This window comes from Homo sapiens, chromosome 14 (genome assembly GCF_000001405.40).
Source record: "Homo sapiens chromosome 14, GRCh38.p14 Primary Assembly".
NCBI classification, from domain to species: Eukaryota; Metazoa; Chordata; class Mammalia; order Primates; family Hominidae; genus Homo; species Homo sapiens.
Genome location: NC_000014.9, coordinates 105,701,323 through 105,718,510, shown reverse-complemented (window position 1 = coordinate 105,718,510; position 17,188 = coordinate 105,701,323). Strand labels below are relative to the sequence as shown.

At 60.7% G+C, this 17,188-nt stretch overlaps 1 gene segment (V, D, J or C) and 1 further gene; both read left to right on the top strand.

Moving 5' to 3' along the window:
* The window catches only part of IGH (immunoglobulin heavy locus), a 1,293,408-nt gene that overhangs the window by 1,161,334 nt on the left and 114,886 nt on the right, over positions 1-17,188 (top strand).
* IGHA1 (immunoglobulin heavy constant alpha 1) lies at positions 9,847-11,343 on the top strand. The segment is given in 3 exon segments: positions 9,847-10,152; positions 10,367-10,726; positions 10,949-11,343. Coding segments are annotated over 3 exon segments (1,061 nt in total).

Sequence of the window (17,188 nt, the reverse complement as noted above, 5' to 3'; positions counted from 1 at the left end):
ATCCCTTCACCCACCCCTCCTGCCATCCATCCACAGCCCCCATCCCTTCACCCACCCCTCCTGCCATCTATCCTCAGCCCCCATCCCTTCACCCACCCCTCCTGCCATCCATCCACAGCCCCCATCCCTTCACCCACCCCTCCTGCCATCTATCCTCAGCCCCCATCCCTTCACCCACCCCTCCTGCCATCCATCCACAGCCCCCATCCCTTCACCCACCCCTCCTGCCATCTATCCTCAGCCCCCATCCCTTCACCCACCCCTCCTGCCACCCATCCAAAGCCCCCATCCCTTCACCCACCCCTCCTGCCATCCACCTCAGCCCCCATCCCTTCACCCACCCCTCCTGCCATCTATCCTCAGCCCCCATCCCTTCACCCACCCCTCCTGCCATCTATCCTCAGCCCCCATCCCTTCACCCACCCCTCCTGCCATCTATCCTCAGCCCCCATCCCTTCACCCACCCCTCCTGCCATCTATCCACAGCCCCCATCCCTTCACCCACCCCTCCTGCCATCCACCTCAGCCCCCATCCCTTCACCCACCCCTCCTGCCATCTATCCTCAGCCCCCATCCCTTCACCCACCCCTCCTGCCATCTATCCTCAGCCCCCATCCCTTCACCCACCCCTCCTGCCATCTATCCTCAGCCCCCATTTCTGCAGCCTGAAGGCACAGGGAAGCCCTCTGAGGCCAGGCCACAGGACGGTTGAGGGCTTCGGGCCCCTGGAGTGGGTAGAGGGGCTCCCACAGCCAGAGAAGGGGTTTCCTGCAGGGACAGCAGCTGCCGACCTCGTCCCTATGACCTCGTCCAGTGTCTGGCTTCAGCAGTCATACTTCTTTCTCTCTGAGTTTCTTAGTAAAGATCCTTTTCACAAACCCCACGTCTCCGGAGGGCTCTGTAGGAGGTGTGTGTGGCCCTGGAGTGGCTGGTGGGAGGCAGGACCCCTGAGGACGTGCAGGAGGAGCCAGAGGGGAAGGAAGGGCAGGGGCCATTCTGGGGTCCTGAGAGCCAAAGTGCCCAAGCAGTGGTTCCCATCAATCACCCCTCAGCACCCCAGAGACTCCCCAGCTCAGCGCTGTCATACCTGGTCTGCTGGTCTCCAGCCCAGACTCATGCCTCCTTCTCAGGTAAAGTCAAAGCAACAATCAACATCGACCCCTTTGTGGGCAAAACCAGAAGAGGCCCATGCTGTGGTCAGCACAGGAGGCCCCAAGAATGCAGCTGCACAGTCACCAAGGTGGAGGCTGGTGGGGGCCCCCAGGACCACTGGCCACACACCCTGATCCAGCACCCACTGAGCACAGACAAAGCTGACTCCCCAGCCCACAGCCGCCCACCAGCCTGGACCTCCTGAAGAGCTGAGAGGTGACCCAGGAGCAGGCTGGGGCCCCAGAGCCATCGGGGCCACAGGTGGGCTTGACCCACACCAGTCCTCAGGGCAAATGTGCAGCCTCCCTGGCTGGAGAGGCCTGCTTACAAGGGTCTCCACAACATCCTAAAAATGGGAGAGAACGCATGATAGGCATGACAAAGGGCAGGGTTCCCTCATATACAAAGAGCACTCAGAGATCACTAAGAAGAAAGGTGAGCAATAGGTTCTTCATGGAAAGGAAAAACCCAGTGGCCGATAATATAAAGAAACCATTTTAACAATGAGAAAAGTGAAAGGAAGGAGGAGGGGATGAAGGGGGTGGAGGTGCTTCTTGGCCCTGACTGAGGGCACGTAAATCATTAAGACCACTTTTTAGGGCCAGTTGGCAAAATGCCCCAATGCAGGAGAGTCCTCTCACAGTGATGGCCCCACAGGGAGAGCCTCGCTCTGTGCCAGGAGAGCCACGTCACATGGAGTCTGGCACAAAGCGGAATGAAGCAAGCCTGCCTCAGTCTGACAGCGGCACCTGGGCCCTCCGCCCTGTCCTCTGCTGCGACCTCGGAGCAGCCGGGCACGGGGGAGAAGGTGAGGAGCGACGGCTCCCTACGGGGTAGAAAACCCCAAAGCGGGCAGCGCTGAGGCTGACTGGGTCCAAACAACATCAGAGGAGGGGGCGTCGCAGGACAGGGCCAAGGCCACAGCCGCTGCCCAGCTCCCCTCACACACTCCCTCATTCACAGACACACACGCGGGCACACACTCGCACATGCAAAAACACACAGGTTCACACACACAGACTCAACCTCTCATACACATTTGCACTCACACACACCAATCATGCACTCACACAGGCTGACACGCTCGGGCACGCTCATACCAACACACACACAGTCTCAGGAAGCCAGGCCCTCCATCCACCCCATCACCAGCCCAGGGTGTCGCAAACCCACATCTCCTACAACAGACCGGCCCTCCGCAGCCAAGGTGCCCCGGACCGGGAGCCCCCCCGGGGGACAGAGCTCAGTGACTTTCTCTGCCCCGCACCCTAGATCATGAGACCTCCATGGCCCCAGAGCAAGGGCAAGGAGTCAGCTCACTGCCCCACTGTGTGGCAGGCGTCCTCACGCACAGAAAATTCCATCGCCTCAAAGGCCTGAGAGGAAGACCAGATGAGCACCCACGTAGAGGAGACAGACGGGGCCCGTGGGGAGGGGCAGAGGCCCGGATTCACACCCAGGCTCGGAACAGCGCCCCTGCCTTCCACATGGCCTGGCCTCCCGGGAGCAAGAGGATGCCGTCTCAGGGCCTCTCCATCCCCCTCTTCATTCCCCTATTAACCCACCCGTGGGTACAACCATGGCCCCCAAAAGATAGAGCCACATCCTAGCCCCTGGGGCCATTGAGTGCGGCGTTATTTGTCAAAAGGGCCTTTGCAGATCCCATCAAGATAAGGATTTCGAGGTGAGGGCACCCTGGATTGTCAAGGATTTCGAGGTGAAGGAACCCTGGATTGTCAAGGATTTCGAGGTGAAGGAACCCTGGATTGTCAAGGATTTCGAGGTGAGGGCGCCCTGGATTGTCAAGGATTTCGAGGTGAAGGAACCCTGGATTGTCAAGGATTTCGAGGTGAGGGCACCCTGGATTGTCAAGGATTTCGAGGTGAAGGAACCCTGGATTGTCAAGGATTTCGAGGTGAAGGAACCCTGGATTGTCAAGGATTTCAAGGTGAGGGCACCCTGGATTGTCAAGGATTTCGAGGTGAGGGAAACCTGGATTGTCAAGGATTTCGAGGTGAGGGAACCCTGGATTGTCAAGGATTTCGAGATGAGGGAACCCTGGATTGTCAAGGATTTCGAGGTGAGGGCACCCTGGATTGTCAAGGATTTCGAGGTGAAGGAACCCTGGATTGTCAAGGATTTCGAGGTGAGGGCGCCCTGGATTGTCAAGGATTTCGAGGTGAAGGAACCCTGGATTGTCAAGGATTTCGAGGTGAGGGCACCCTGGATTGTCAAGGATTTCGAGGTGAAGGAACCCTGGATTGTCAAGGATTTCGAGGTGAAGGAACCCTGGATTGTCAAGGATTTCGAGGTGAGGGCACCCTGGATTGTCAAGGATTTCGAGGTGAGGGAAACCTGGATTGTCAAGGATTTCGAGGTGAGGGAAACCTGGATTGTCAAGGATTTCGAGATGAGGGAACCCTGGATTGTCAAGGATTTCGAGGTGAGGGCACCCTGGATTGTCAAGGATTTCGAGGTGAGGGCACCCTGGATTGTCAAGGATTTCGAGGTGAGGGAACCCTGGATTGTCAAGGATTTCGAGGTGAAGGAACCCTGGATTGTCAAGGATTTCGAGGTGAGGGCACCCTGGATTGTCAAGGATTTCGAGGTGAGGGAAACCTGGATTGTCAAGGATTTCGAGGTGAGGGAAACCTGGATTGTCAAGGATTTCGAGATGAGGGAACCCTGGATTGTCAAGGATTTCGAGGTGAGGGCACCCTGGATTGTCAAGGATTTCGAGGTGAGGGCACCCTGGATTGTCAAGGATTTCGAGGTGAGGGAACCCTGGATTGTCAAGGATTTCGAGGTGAGGGAACCCTGGATTGTCAAGGATTTCGAGGTGAGGGCACCCTGGATTGTCAAGGATTTCGAGGTGAGGGCACCCTGGATTGTCAAGGATTTCGAGGTGAGGGAACCCTGGATTGTCAAGGATTTCGAGGTGAGGGCACCCTGGATTGTCAAGGATTTCAAGGTGAGGGCGCCCTGGATTGTCAAGGATTTCAAGGTGAAGGACACCCTGGATTATCGAGGGGGCTAGGTCCAAGGACAAGTGTCCTAGCTGGAGACAGACGAGGAGACACAGGGATGGGGAGAGGCAGAGGCAGACAGGGGTGGTGCTATGGTCTGAGGGTCTGTGTCTGCCCGAAACTCCTGTGTGACAGCCGTCATCCCAGAGTGAGAGCATGCAGAGCTGGGGCCTCAGGGAGGTGGTTAGGGCCTGAGGGGGAACCCTCAAAAATGTGATTCGGTCCCTAATCTCACTAGAGACCCTAAAGAAAAGGGACCCCAGAGAGCAGCCCTGCCCTCTTTCCACCACGTGAGGACGCAGTGAAAAGATGGGGGTCTGTGAACCAGGAATCGACCCTTCCTGGAACTTGACCCTGCTGCCATCCTGACCTTGAACTTCCAGCTTCGAGAACCGTGAGAAATGAATGTTGCTGCTGAACCCACCAGTCTATGGTATTTTTGTTATTGCAGCCAGAAATGACTAAGATGCAGCAGCCACGTCCCCCTGGCGAGGGCCGGGGGCATCCCAAGGTTCATAACAAAAGCTCCAGAGCTTCCCTGAACCGCCAGGTGTGTCTTCCCAGGACCCTGGGGCAGCCCCAGGCTACCTCCCTCCTCCTCTGACCCCACCTGCCCTGATCCGGCCTCACTGTCACTCCCTGGATTTCACCCGACAGCCTCCGCCGGGGTGGCCCGGCCCCATGGCCAGGGCATCTTCCATTCACGCCCACGCTTTCCAGGACTCCGCTGCAGCAGCTCCTCTGTGAAGCGCCTCTGGCCTCCCATTGCCGGTGCCACCCGAGCCCCCAGACATAGCTGGCCTCCCCCGACTCCAGGGCCAGCATCGCTGGCGGGATCTCTCCAACGCAACGGCCAGCTCTCTGGTGACCCACAGTAGGAGTGCCACCTGGGCAGCGCTGGACAGGGTAGAGCAGGCACCTTGGCCACCCTGACCCGCAGGGCTGCAGGCTAGGAGACGGGGTGCCCCCATGCCCCCACCCTGGGCTGCAGTCTGGGGCCCCCAGCGGCCCATGGGGCAGACCGAGGGAGGCCAGGCCGGAGTGGCTCCAACCCAGCAGCGCAAGACTCACTCTCCCCAGCCTGATGCCCGCCCTGTGGCCCCAAGGCCCCCTCAACGGGAGTCCACTCACAGGCACCCTTCCCCTGCGGGTGGTCGGGGACCCTCTCTGGCCCTGTGTCTCCCCTTTGCCATCTCTGTCTCGGGGTCTCTGAGCCTCTAACTGTGTCTGTTCCTGTTTCCCTGCATCGTGGCCCCCACCCCGCCCTGTGGAGCCATGTGGAGCCATGAGGCTCCACGGCCGGTGGGGTCACAGAGCCCTGGCCACACACACCTGGCCCCACCACAGCCAGACCACAGGCCAGACATGACGTGGAGCCGCGCGGCCGTGTCTGCTGGGGCAGGAAGTGGGCGAGTGACCCTGTCTGTAGGCCAGACGTACGGGCATGCAGGCCCTCCCCTCCAGCCCCTCAGCATCCAGCCACATCTGTGGACACAGCCAGCGAGGCAGAGCAGGGCTCTGCTAAGGACAGACGGCCATCAAGGCAGGGCCTGGGCCGGGCCAGGGCTCCCTCCCCACAGCAGCCCTCTTGGCAGGCAGCCAGACGCCCGTGAGGGTGGACCTGCCATGAGGGCCTGCACGCCGGAGGCCGCCCACTCAGCACTGCGGGCCCTCCAGCAGCCTGACCAGGTGGGTCTTGGAGGTCTCCAGGCCTCCGTCTCCTCCTCTGCACATTGAGGAGTCCAGCCAGGCTGGTCCTGGCCCCTTCTGGAAGCAAAAGGTGGAGAACAGGCACCAAGACAAGAGGGAAGGACAAAAGAGGTCACCACAGGGACTCCGGAACCACAGGGCAGGGCTTCCTAACCAGGCAGGAAGGATCTGGGCACTGGGGGCTGAGCCAGGCTGGCCAGGCCTAACCAGGGATGACCCGGCCCTTCCTGGGATACAAGGTGAACAGGTTTCATGGCTGAGCTGAGGCCTAGGCTGAGCCGAGCCAGAGGGCAAAGAAGATGACGTGGAGCCAGCTGATACACGTCCATGTGGGCTGCCCTGAGCTGCCCTGGGCTGGGCTGGGCTGAGCAAGGCTAGGCTGAACTGGGCTGAGCTGAACTGGTCTGGGCTGAGCTGGGCTGAGCTAGGCTGGGCTGAGCTGGGCTGGGCTGAGCTAGTCTGGGCTGAGCTGGACTGGGCTGGGCTGAGCTGGACTGGGCTGGGCTGAGCTGGACTGGGCTGGGCTGAGCTGGGCTGAGCTAGGCTGGGCTGAGCTAGTCTGGGCTGAGCTGGACTGGGCTGGGCTGAGCTGGGCTGGGCTGGGCTTGGACGAGCTGGGCTGGGCTGGGTTGAGCTGAGCTGAGCTGAGCTGGGCTGAGCTGGGCTGGGCTGGGCTGGGCTGGGCTGAGCTGGGCTGAGCTGGGCTGGGCTAAGCTGGACTGGGCTGGGCTGAGCTGGACTGGGCTGGGCTGAGCTAGACTTGGCTGAGCTGGGCTGGGCTGGGCTGGGCTGAGCTGGGCTAAGCTGGACTGGGCTGAGCTGTGCTGGGCTGAGCTGGGCTAAGCTGGACTGGGCTGTGCTGTGCTGAGCTGGGCTGGGCTGAGCTGAGCTGGGCTGGGCTGAGCTGAGCTGGGCTGGACTGGGCTGGGATGAGCTGGACTGGGCTGGGATGAGCTGGGCTGGGCTGGGCTGAGCTGGGCTGAGCTGGGCTGGGCTGAGCTGAGCTGAGCTGGGCTGGGCTGGGATGAGCTGGGCTGGGCTGGGCTGGGCTGGGCTGGGCTGGGCTGGGTTGGGCTGAGCTAGACTGGGCTGAGCTGAGCTGGGCTGAGCTGGACTGGGCCGGGCTGAGCTGGGCCGGGCCGGATTGGGCCGGGCCGGGCCGGACTGGGCCGGGCCGAGCCGGGCCGGGCCGGGCTGAGCGGGTCTGAGCTGGGCTGAGCTGAGCTGGGCTGAGCTAGACCAGGCTCGGGTGAGCTAGGCCAGGCTGGGCTGGGCTGGGCTGGGCTGGGCTGAGCTGTGCTGGGCTGGGCTGGGCTGGGCTGAGCTGTGCTGGGCTGGGCTGGGACAAGCTGGGCTGGGCTGGGCTGGGACGAGCTGGGCTGGGCTGGGCTGGGATGAGCTGGGCTGGGCTGAGCTGAGCTAGGGTGGGCTGAGCTGAGCTGGGTTGAGCTAGACCAGGCTGGGGTGAGCTAGGCTGGGCTGGGCTGGGCCGGGTTGGGCTGGGCCGGGCTGGGCCGGGATGGGATGGGCTGGGCTGGGCTGGGCTGGGCTGGGCTGGGACGGGCTGGGCTGGGCTGGGCTGGGACGAGCTGGGCTGGCCTGGGTTGAGCTGAGCTGAGCTGAGCTGAGCTGGGCTGGCCTGAGCTGGGCTGGGCTAGGCTGGGCTGGGCTGGGCTGGGCTTGGACGAGCTGGGCTGCCCTGGGTTGAGCTGAGCTGAGCTGAGCTGGGCTGGGGTGAGCTGGGCTGGGCTGGGTTGGGCTGAGCTAGACTGGGCTGGGCTGGGCTGGGCTGAGCTGGGCTAAGCTGGACTGGGCTGGGCTGGGTTGGGCTGAACTGGGCTGGGCTGAGTTGGGCTGAGCTGGGCTGAGCTGAGTTGGGCTGAGCTGGGCTGAGCTGAGTTGGGCTGGGCTGAGCTGGGCTAAGCTGGACCTGGCTGGGGTGAGCTAGGCTGGGCTGCGCTGAGCTGGGCTGGGCTGGGCTGGGCTGAGCTGGGCTGGGCTGAGCTGAGCTGGGCTGACCTGGGCTGGGCTGACCTGGGCTGGGCTAAGCTGGACTGATCTGGGCTAGGCTGGGCTGGGCTGACCTAAGCTGAGCCAGACTGGGCTGAGCTGGGTGAGCTTAGGTGGATTGAGCTGGACTGGGCTGAGCTGAGCTGGGCTGAGCTGGACTGGGCTAGGCTGAGCTGAGCTTGGTTGGGTTGACCTGGGCTGAGCTGAGCTGAATTGGGTTGACCTGGGCTGAGCTGGGTTCGGCTGGGCTAGGCTGACCTGGGCTGGGCTGAGCTGAGCTAGGCTTGGATGAGCTGAGCTGGGCTGGGTTGGACTGCGCTGGGCTGGGTTGGACTGGTCTGGGCTGACCTGAGCTGTACTGAGCTGGTCTGACCTGTGCTGAGCTGGGCTGGGCTAGGCTGAGCTGGGCTGACCTGTGTTGGGCTGGGCTGGGCTAAGCTGGGCTAGGCTGGGCTGAGCTGGACGGAGCTGACCTGGGTGAGCTTAAGTGGACTGAGCTGAGCTGGACTGACCTGGGCTAAGCTAAGCTGGGCTGACCTGTGCTGGGCTGGGCTGGACTAGGCTGGGCTGAGCTGGACTGAGCTGAGCTAGACTGAGCTGAGCTGGGTGAGCTTAGGTGGACTGAGCTGGGCTGGGCTGAGCTGAGCTGGACTGGGCTGGGCCGAACTGAGCTAGACTGGGCTGAGCTGGGCTGAGCTGGGGTGGGCTGAGCTAGGCTGAGCTGGGGTGGGCTGAGCTGGGCTGAGCTAGGCTGAGCTGAGCTGGGTTTGGTTGACATGGACTGAGCTGTGTTGAGCTGGGCTAGGCTAAGCTAGGCTGGGCGGAGCTGAGCTGGGTTGGGCTGAGCTGAACTGGGCTGGACTGGGCTGGACTGGGCTGGGCTGGGCTGGGCTGGGCTGAGCTGAGCTGAGCTGTACTGAGCTGGCCTGGGCCAGGCTGAGCTGGGCTGGGCTGAGCTGTACTAAGCTGGCCTGGGCTGGGCTGAGCTGTACTGAGCTGGCCTGGGCTGGGTTGACCTGGGCTGAGCTGGACTAAGCTGGGCTGACCTGGGCTGGGATGGGATGGGCTAGGATGACTTGGGCTGGACTGGGCGGGACTGAGCTGGACTGGCCTGGGCTGAGCTGGGCTGGGCTGGACTGAGCTGGACTGGCCTGGGCTGGGCTGGGCGGGATGGGCTGAGGTGGCTGCTAATGTGGGAAAGAGGCCGTGGGTTGAGTGTGATTCCACCTGCAGAGCCCTGAGCCCAGCTGTGTTCTTAGGGGTTCTGAGGGCCACGCAGCTCTGTTGCACCATGATTCTGTCTTCTCTCTTGCCCACTGCCTGAAGGAAATTTGGAGTGGGCTGGGCCCAGAGCTCCCCTGTATAGCAGGCCCTGTCCTGGAGGGCCTGGCAGGGACATGGCTTAGCCTGTTGGCCTCTAGTCCCGAGACCTCATAGGCCACAGGGGTCCACTGTGGCTTGTTTGGGCCTGGGGTGGGGCTCATGGAGTGGTGGGTGTTGGACTGAGACTCTGACCAGGGACAGGGGGATGGGGTCACAGCCAAGCCACTCCACCCCTACCCCATGCACACAGCACTCAGAGCCCAGACCCTCTCCTAAGAGCCCCCACCAAAATCCTCTCTAGGGGCAGGGGATAGAGCAAGACATGTCCCCCACCCAGAGCAGGGGCTGCGGTCAGGGAGCTCAGGGGACTCAGCCACTCCATGGCAGAGCCCTGTTTAATACAACTTGTGTCTGGGATGGCCTGAATCAGAGACCCTATCTAAGGAGCATGTTCAGAAACCATGTTGCTGGGATCAGACAGCAGGGTCCAACTGCAGGCCTGTGGTGCAGGAGCTGTGTGACCATGGGGCTGTCACCAGGCCTCTCTGTGCTGGGTTCCTCCAGTATAGAGGAGAGGCAGTATAGAGGAGAGGGCCGCGTCCTCACAGTGCATTCTGTGTTCCAGCATCCCCGACCAGCCCCAAGGTCTTCCCGCTGAGCCTCTGCAGCACCCAGCCAGATGGGAACGTGGTCATCGCCTGCCTGGTCCAGGGCTTCTTCCCCCAGGAGCCACTCAGTGTGACCTGGAGCGAAAGCGGACAGGGCGTGACCGCCAGAAACTTCCCACCCAGCCAGGATGCCTCCGGGGACCTGTACACCACGAGCAGCCAGCTGACCCTGCCGGCCACACAGTGCCTAGCCGGCAAGTCCGTGACATGCCACGTGAAGCACTACACGAATCCCAGCCAGGATGTGACTGTGCCCTGCCCAGGTCAGAGGGCAGGCTGGGGAGTGGGGCGGGGCCACCCCGTCGTGCCCTGACACTGCGCCTGCACCCGTGTTCCCCACAGGGAGCCGCCCCTTCACTCACACCAGAGTGGACCGCGGGCCGAGCCCCAGGAGGTGGTGGTGGACAGGCCAGGAGGGGCGAGGCGGGGGCATGGGGAAGTATGTGCTGACCAGCTCAGGCCATCTCTCCACTCCAGTTCCCTCAACTCCACCTACCCCATCTCCCTCAACTCCACCTACCCCATCTCCCTCATGCTGCCACCCCCGACTGTCACTGCACCGACCGGCCCTCGAGGACCTGCTCTTAGGTTCAGAAGCGAACCTCACGTGCACACTGACCGGCCTGAGAGATGCCTCAGGTGTCACCTTCACCTGGACGCCCTCAAGTGGGAAGAGCGCTGTTCAAGGACCACCTGAGCGTGACCTCTGTGGCTGCTACAGCGTGTCCAGTGTCCTGCCGGGCTGTGCCGAGCCATGGAACCATGGGAAGACCTTCACTTGCACTGCTGCCTACCCCGAGTCCAAGACCCCGCTAACCGCCACCCTCTCAAAATCCGGTGGGTCCAGACCCTGCTCGGGGCCCTGCTCAGTGCTCTGGTTTGCAAAGCATATTCCTGGCCTGCCTCCTCCCTCCCAATCCTGGGCTCCAGTGCTCATGCCAAGTACAGAGGGAAACTGAGGCAGGCTGAGGGGCCAGGACACAGCCCAGGGTGCCCACCAGAGCAGAGGGGCTCTCTCATCCCCTGCCCAGCCCCCTGACCTGGCTCTCTACCCTCCAGGAAACACATTCCGGCCCGAGGTCCACCTGCTGCCGCCGCCGTCGGAGGAGCTGGCCCTGAACGAGCTGGTGACGCTGACGTGCCTGGCACGCGGCTTCAGCCCCAAGGATGTGCTGGTTCGCTGGCTGCAGGGGTCACAGGAGCTGCCCCGCGAGAAGTACCTGACTTGGGCATCCCGGCAGGAGCCCAGCCAGGGCACCACCACCTTCGCTGTGACCAGCATACTGCGCGTGGCAGCCGAGGACTGGAAGAAGGGGGACACCTTCTCCTGCATGGTGGGCCACGAGGCCCTGCCGCTGGCCTTCACACAGAAGACCATCGACCGCTTGGCGGGTAAACCCACCCATGTCAATGTGTCTGTTGTCATGGCGGAGGTGGACGGCACCTGCTACTGAGCCGCCCGCCTGTCCCCACCCCTGAATAAACTCCATGCTCCCCCAAGCAGCCCCACGCTTCCATCCGGCGCCTGTCTGTCCATCCTCAGGGTCTCAGCACTTGGGAAAGGGCCAGGGCATGGACAGGGAAGAATACCCCCTGCCCTCAGCCTCGGGGGGCCCCTGGCACCCCCCTGAGCCTTTCCACCCTGGTGTGAGTGTGAGTTGTGAGTGTGAGAGTGTGTGGTGCAGGAGGCCTCGCTGGTGTGAGATCTTAGGTCTGCCAAGGCAGGCACAGCCCAGGATGGGTTCTGAGAGATGCACATGCCCCGGACAGTTCTGAGTGAGCAGTGGCATGGCCGTTTGTCCCTGAGAGAGCCGCCTCTGGCTGTAGCTGGGAGGGAATAGGGAGGGTAAAAGGAGCAGGCTAGCCAAGAAAGGCGCAGGTAGTGGCAGGAGCGGCGAGGGAGTGAGGGGCTGGACTCCAGGGCCCCACTGGGAGGACAAGCTCCAGGAGGGCCCCACCACCCTAGTGGGTGGGCCTCAGGACGTCCCACTGACGCATGCAGGAAGGGGCACCTCCCCTTAACCACACTGCTCTGTACGGGGCACGTGGGCACAGGTGCACACTCACACTCACATATACGCCTGAGCCCTGCAGGAGCGGAACGTTCACAGCCCAGACCCAGTTCCAGAAAAGCCAGGGGAGTCCCCTCCCAAGCCCCCAAGCTCAGCCTGCTCCCCTAGGCCCCTCTGGCTTCCCTGTGTTTCCACTGTGCACAGATCAGGCACCAACTCCACAGACCCCTCCCAGGCAGCCCCTGCTCCCTGCCTGGCCAAGTCTCCCATCCCTTCCTAAGCCCAACTAGGACCCAAAGCATAGACAGGGAGGGGCCACGTGGGGTGGCATCAGAAGCAGGCCAGTGAGACAGGGCCTGCCCAGGGCCCTCTGCATGCCTCTGGCTTCTGCCTGGGGCTCCCAGGAGTGTAAGAACAGTCCCACAACCACTGTGGGGACACCTGGCACCCAGACTCCCACAAGGGGGCAGTGGGGCCCCTGCTCGTGCCTTAGACATCTTCCGGGCCTCCCCAGGGCCCCCCGCCTTCTGGCTGCCTCCCTCTGCTCTCAGGGCCAAGGTGAGGTGGAGGCCACTGTCACCCCTGAGGGTCCAGTCACCAGAGGGTAATTGAGAGCAACAGGTCACTCGGGGAAGCCCTGCCACAGAGAAGCCCTCCAGCCCATGGGACCCAGGACCTGGCCCAGGGGAGGGGCTTTTAAAGAGAGGGGGAAAGAGGGAGAATCAACAGATGAGGGGCTGAACCAGCAGACAGAGATCAGGCAGACACATGGGTAGATCCTAGGACATATAATGAATGGATGGGTGGATGGAGGATTGGTAGACGGAGGATGGATGGGTGGGTAAATGGCTGGATGGAGGATGGACAGATGGATATATGATGGATGGATGAAGGACGGGTGGATGGAGGATGGATGAGTGGATGAATGAAGGATGGAAGATGGATGGATGGATGGGTGGATGGACTGATGGATGATGGATGGATGGATGGATGGATGATGGATGGATGGGTAGGCGGATGGAGGATGGAAGGGTGGATGGAGGATGGAAGATAGATGGAGGGGTGAATGGAGGATGGGTGGACTGACGGAGGATTGAGGATACTGGGGTGGGTGGGTGGGTAGATCTATGGAGGATAGGTGTATGGAAGATAATTGGATGGAGAATTGCTTTATGAATGGATGAATGAAGAGATGGAAAATAGCTTTATAGATGGATGGGTGAATGGATGGATGGATAGATGGAAGAAGGATGAATGGATGGAAAATAGCTTTATAGATATATGGGTGGATATTTAAGTGATAGCCTTACATTAATAGATGAATGGAGGATGAATGGTTGGGTGAGTGGGTAGGAGTGTTACTGATGGAGGGGTGGATATACGGATAATAGCTTTATAGATGGATGGATGGATAGATGGATGGAAGGATAGAAAGACAGGTGAATGACTGGATGTATCAGCATATGACAAGCAGGTACAGCTGTACATGGGAGGTCTATGCCCTGAGACCCTGAGGAAAATGAGGATGCCCGTGCTGGTGGCCCTCACCTGGCCCTCGCTTGTAACCCCTCAGCCACATTCCCTGGGAAGGCAACAGAGGCCTCTGGTCTTGCCCATTCAACCTTTGGCACACTGAGTGTCAGACCCAGGTCTCTGTCTTGGACCCAGATCTCCTTGAGGGTGGGTGTGTCTGGTCCTCTCTGGCCCCGGGACCCAGTCACTGAATACGTGGCTGGGACTGAGACGGGGTGGGGTGGGAGGGGCGGGAGGGTACCTCGGGCTCAAGCTTCCCTTGGAGAAGCAGATGGTGTCCACTTTCTGCCCTGCCAAGTCTCTCCCTGAAGTGCCCTAAGAATGTCAAAGACAGAAGGTCCCAGCCCCTCACCTGGGACTCTGCCTCCTCATCCTCCCTGGGGGAGTCTCAGGCCTTAGATGGGGACCCAGACCCCACTGTCCCCAGACCCCAAGGAAGCATAGCCGCTGTTCACACGAGTCTGGGCCTGGCAGGCTCTTGCTGTGTTGCAGATTGGCAGATGCCGCCTCCCTATGTGGTGCTGGACTTGCCGCAGGAGACCCTGGAGGAGGAGACCCCCGGCGCCAACCTGTGGCCCACCACCATCACCTTCCTCACCCTCTTCCTGCTGAGCCTGTTCTATAGCACAGCACTGACCGTGACCAGCGTCCGGGGCCCATCTGGCAACAGGGAGGGCCCCCAGTACTGAGCAGGAGCCGGCAAGGCACAGGTGGGAGCCCAGGAGGGGGATGAGCCCACAGTAGATGAGGTGGGCTGCAGTGCTTGGCTAAGAGGAGAGCACCACCTGCTCCCACTGTGGGGGGACGTGCTCTCCTGGGGGGCCCTTCACAGACACTGAGGACACGCGCAGGCCCAGGGTCAGGGCTGAGCTTCCCTCCAGTGCAGTAACGAGGATTCCGTCCAGGCTCCCATGAGCCAGGCCAGGGCTGAGACAGAGGGCGTTGGCAAGGATGCTGCTCCTTCAGGCTGTGACCCCTCTGTCTTTGCAGGGAGGAAGTGTGGAGGAACCTCTTGGAGAAGCCAGCTATGCTTGCCAGAACTCAGCCCTTTCAGACATCACCGACCCGCCCTTACTCACATGCCTTCCAGGTGCAATAAAGTGGCCCCAAGGAAAATGTTCACAGACTCTGAATGAGGAGACGGGGGTCAGGGAAAGGGTGGTGGCTTTAGACTGGAGAACGCCTGCTTCAAAGTCCCCCTGGGTGTCATGGTGGTCATGGTGGGCATGGACAGAGGGTACCCCTGGTCCCAAAATCAAGAAATGACCTGATCTTGAATGAGGCTGAGGCCCAAGGATGAATGCTGGATTCACCAGAGACCATGGCAAAGAAGCCTGCTCCTAAGAACTACATGGGATCCCTGTTCCTCATAACCTAGACAGCCCTGGTCCTCCTCACTGGGTCCTCATCCTGATCACAGGGCCCTGGTCCTGACCAGTGGGCCCGTTTACCGATCACTGAGCTCTGGTCCTACTACTTGGTCCCTGTTCCTGATCACTTAATTCTAGCCTTGATCACTGAGCCTTAGTCCTGATCACTGAGTCCTACTCCTGTTTTTGGCCCTGGACCTCATCACTCAGCCCTGGTCCTCATCACTCAGCCCCGGTCCTGGTCACTCAGCCCTGGTCCTCGTCACTGAGCCCTGGACCTCCTCACTCAGCCCTGGACCTCCTCACTCAGCCCTGGACCTCCTCACTCAGCCCTGGTCCTCATCACTCAGCCCTGGACCTCATCACTCAGCCCTGGTCCTCATCACTCAGCCCTGGACCTCCTCACTCAGCCCTGGACCTCATCACTCAGCCCTGGTCCTGGTCACTCAGCCCTGGACCTCGTCACTCAGCCCTGGACCTCGTCACTCAGCCCTGGACCTCGTCACTCAGCCCTGGTCCTCATCACTCAGCCCTGGACCTCATCACTCAGCCCTGGACCTCCTCACTCAGCCCTGGACCTCATCACTCAGCCCTGGACCTCCTCACTTAGCCCTGGACCTCGTCACTCAGCCCTGGTCCTGGTCACTCAGCCCTGGTCCTCATCACTCAGCCCTGGACCTCATCACTCAGCCCTGGTCCTCATCACTCAGCCCTGGTCCTGATCACCCAGCCCTGGTCCTGATCACTCAGTCCTGGTCCAGATCACACAGCCCTGGTCCTGATCACTCCATCCTAGTCCTCATCACTCAGCCCTGGTCCTGATCACCCAGCCCTGGTCCTGATCACTCAGTCCTGGTCCAGATCACTCAGCCCTGGTCCTGATCACTCAGCTCTGGTCCTGATTATTAGATCCTGATGCTAGTCACTGGGCACTGGGCACTGGGCCCTGATCCTAATCACTGAACCCTGCTCCTGATCAATGAACCCTGGCCCTGATCAAAGGGCTTTGCTCCTGATCACTGGGCCCTGGTCATGCTGTGTTCTGGTCCTTACCCCTGAACTCTGGTCCTGATTACTGAGTCTTGGTCCTGATCCCTGAGTCCTAGACTTGATCACTCAATTCCAGTCCTCATCAGTGGGCCCTGGTCGTGATCACTGAGCCCTGATCTGGATCACTAGGCTCTGGTCCTAACTCAGTCCTGGTCTGGATCGCTGAGTCTTGATCCTGATCACTGGGCCATGTTCTGGATCAATGAGCCCTGGCCCTGATCACTGGGCCCTGGTCCTGCTAACTATGCTCTGGTCCTGACCACTGAGCCCTTGTCCCAGTCAACAGTCAATAACTGAGCTCTGGTCCTAGTCAATAGTCAATCACTGAGCCCTGGTCCTGATCACTGGGTCCTGGTCCTGATCACTGGGTCCTGTTCTTATCCCTGAATCTTGGTCCTGATCACTGAGCCCTGGCCCTCATCACTGGGTCTTGTTCCTAATCACTGGGCTCTGGTTCTGACCAATGGCCCCTGGTTCTGGTCCCTGACTCCTGGTCCTGATCAATGGGCTCTGCTCTTGACTTCTGAGTCCTGGTGCTGATCATCCAGTCCTGGTCCTGATCACTGGGCCCTGATTCTAATCACTCAGACCTCCTTTTGATCACTGAACCCTAGTATTTATCACTGAGCCCTGATCCTGATCGTTGGGCCCTATTTCTGGTAACTGAGCTCTGATCCTGACCACTGACCTCTGTTCCTAATCACTGAGCCCTGGACCAGATCACTGGCCCCTGGTCCTGATCACTGGCCCCTGGACCTGATCACTGACCCTTGTTCCCGATTGCTGAGCCCTGGACCTGATCACTGAGCCCTGTTCCTGATCACTAACCCCTATTCCTGATCACTGAGCCCTGGTCCTGATTACTGAGCCCTGGACCCAGTCAATGACCCCTGTTCCTGATCACTGAGCCCTGGACCAAATCACTGAGCCCTGGACCAGATCACTGGGCCCTGGTCTTGATCACTGGGCCCTGGTCCTGATTACTGAGCCCTGATCCTGATCACTGGGCCCTGTTCCTGACCACTGAGCCCTGGACCAGACCGCGGATCCCTGTTCCTGATCACTGATCTCTGGTTCTTTAATTATGCATATTCATTTTGAAATCTGATTCCTTTTCTGAGCATGTATCAGTCTGACTAGACACTGAGTCCTGTCTGATTTCTGAGCCTTGGCCCTCATGAGTAAGTGACCTGCAGTGGTGGAGGGAGGCCTCCAGGGGAGCCGAGACCCTCTCAGTGCATGTACTCACTGGTAGATGAAGAAATGACCCCAATGACTTGCTCCATTTTTCCAGGCTCAGAGGGGTGTGTAGGCCCCAGGAGGACTTGGTGGCG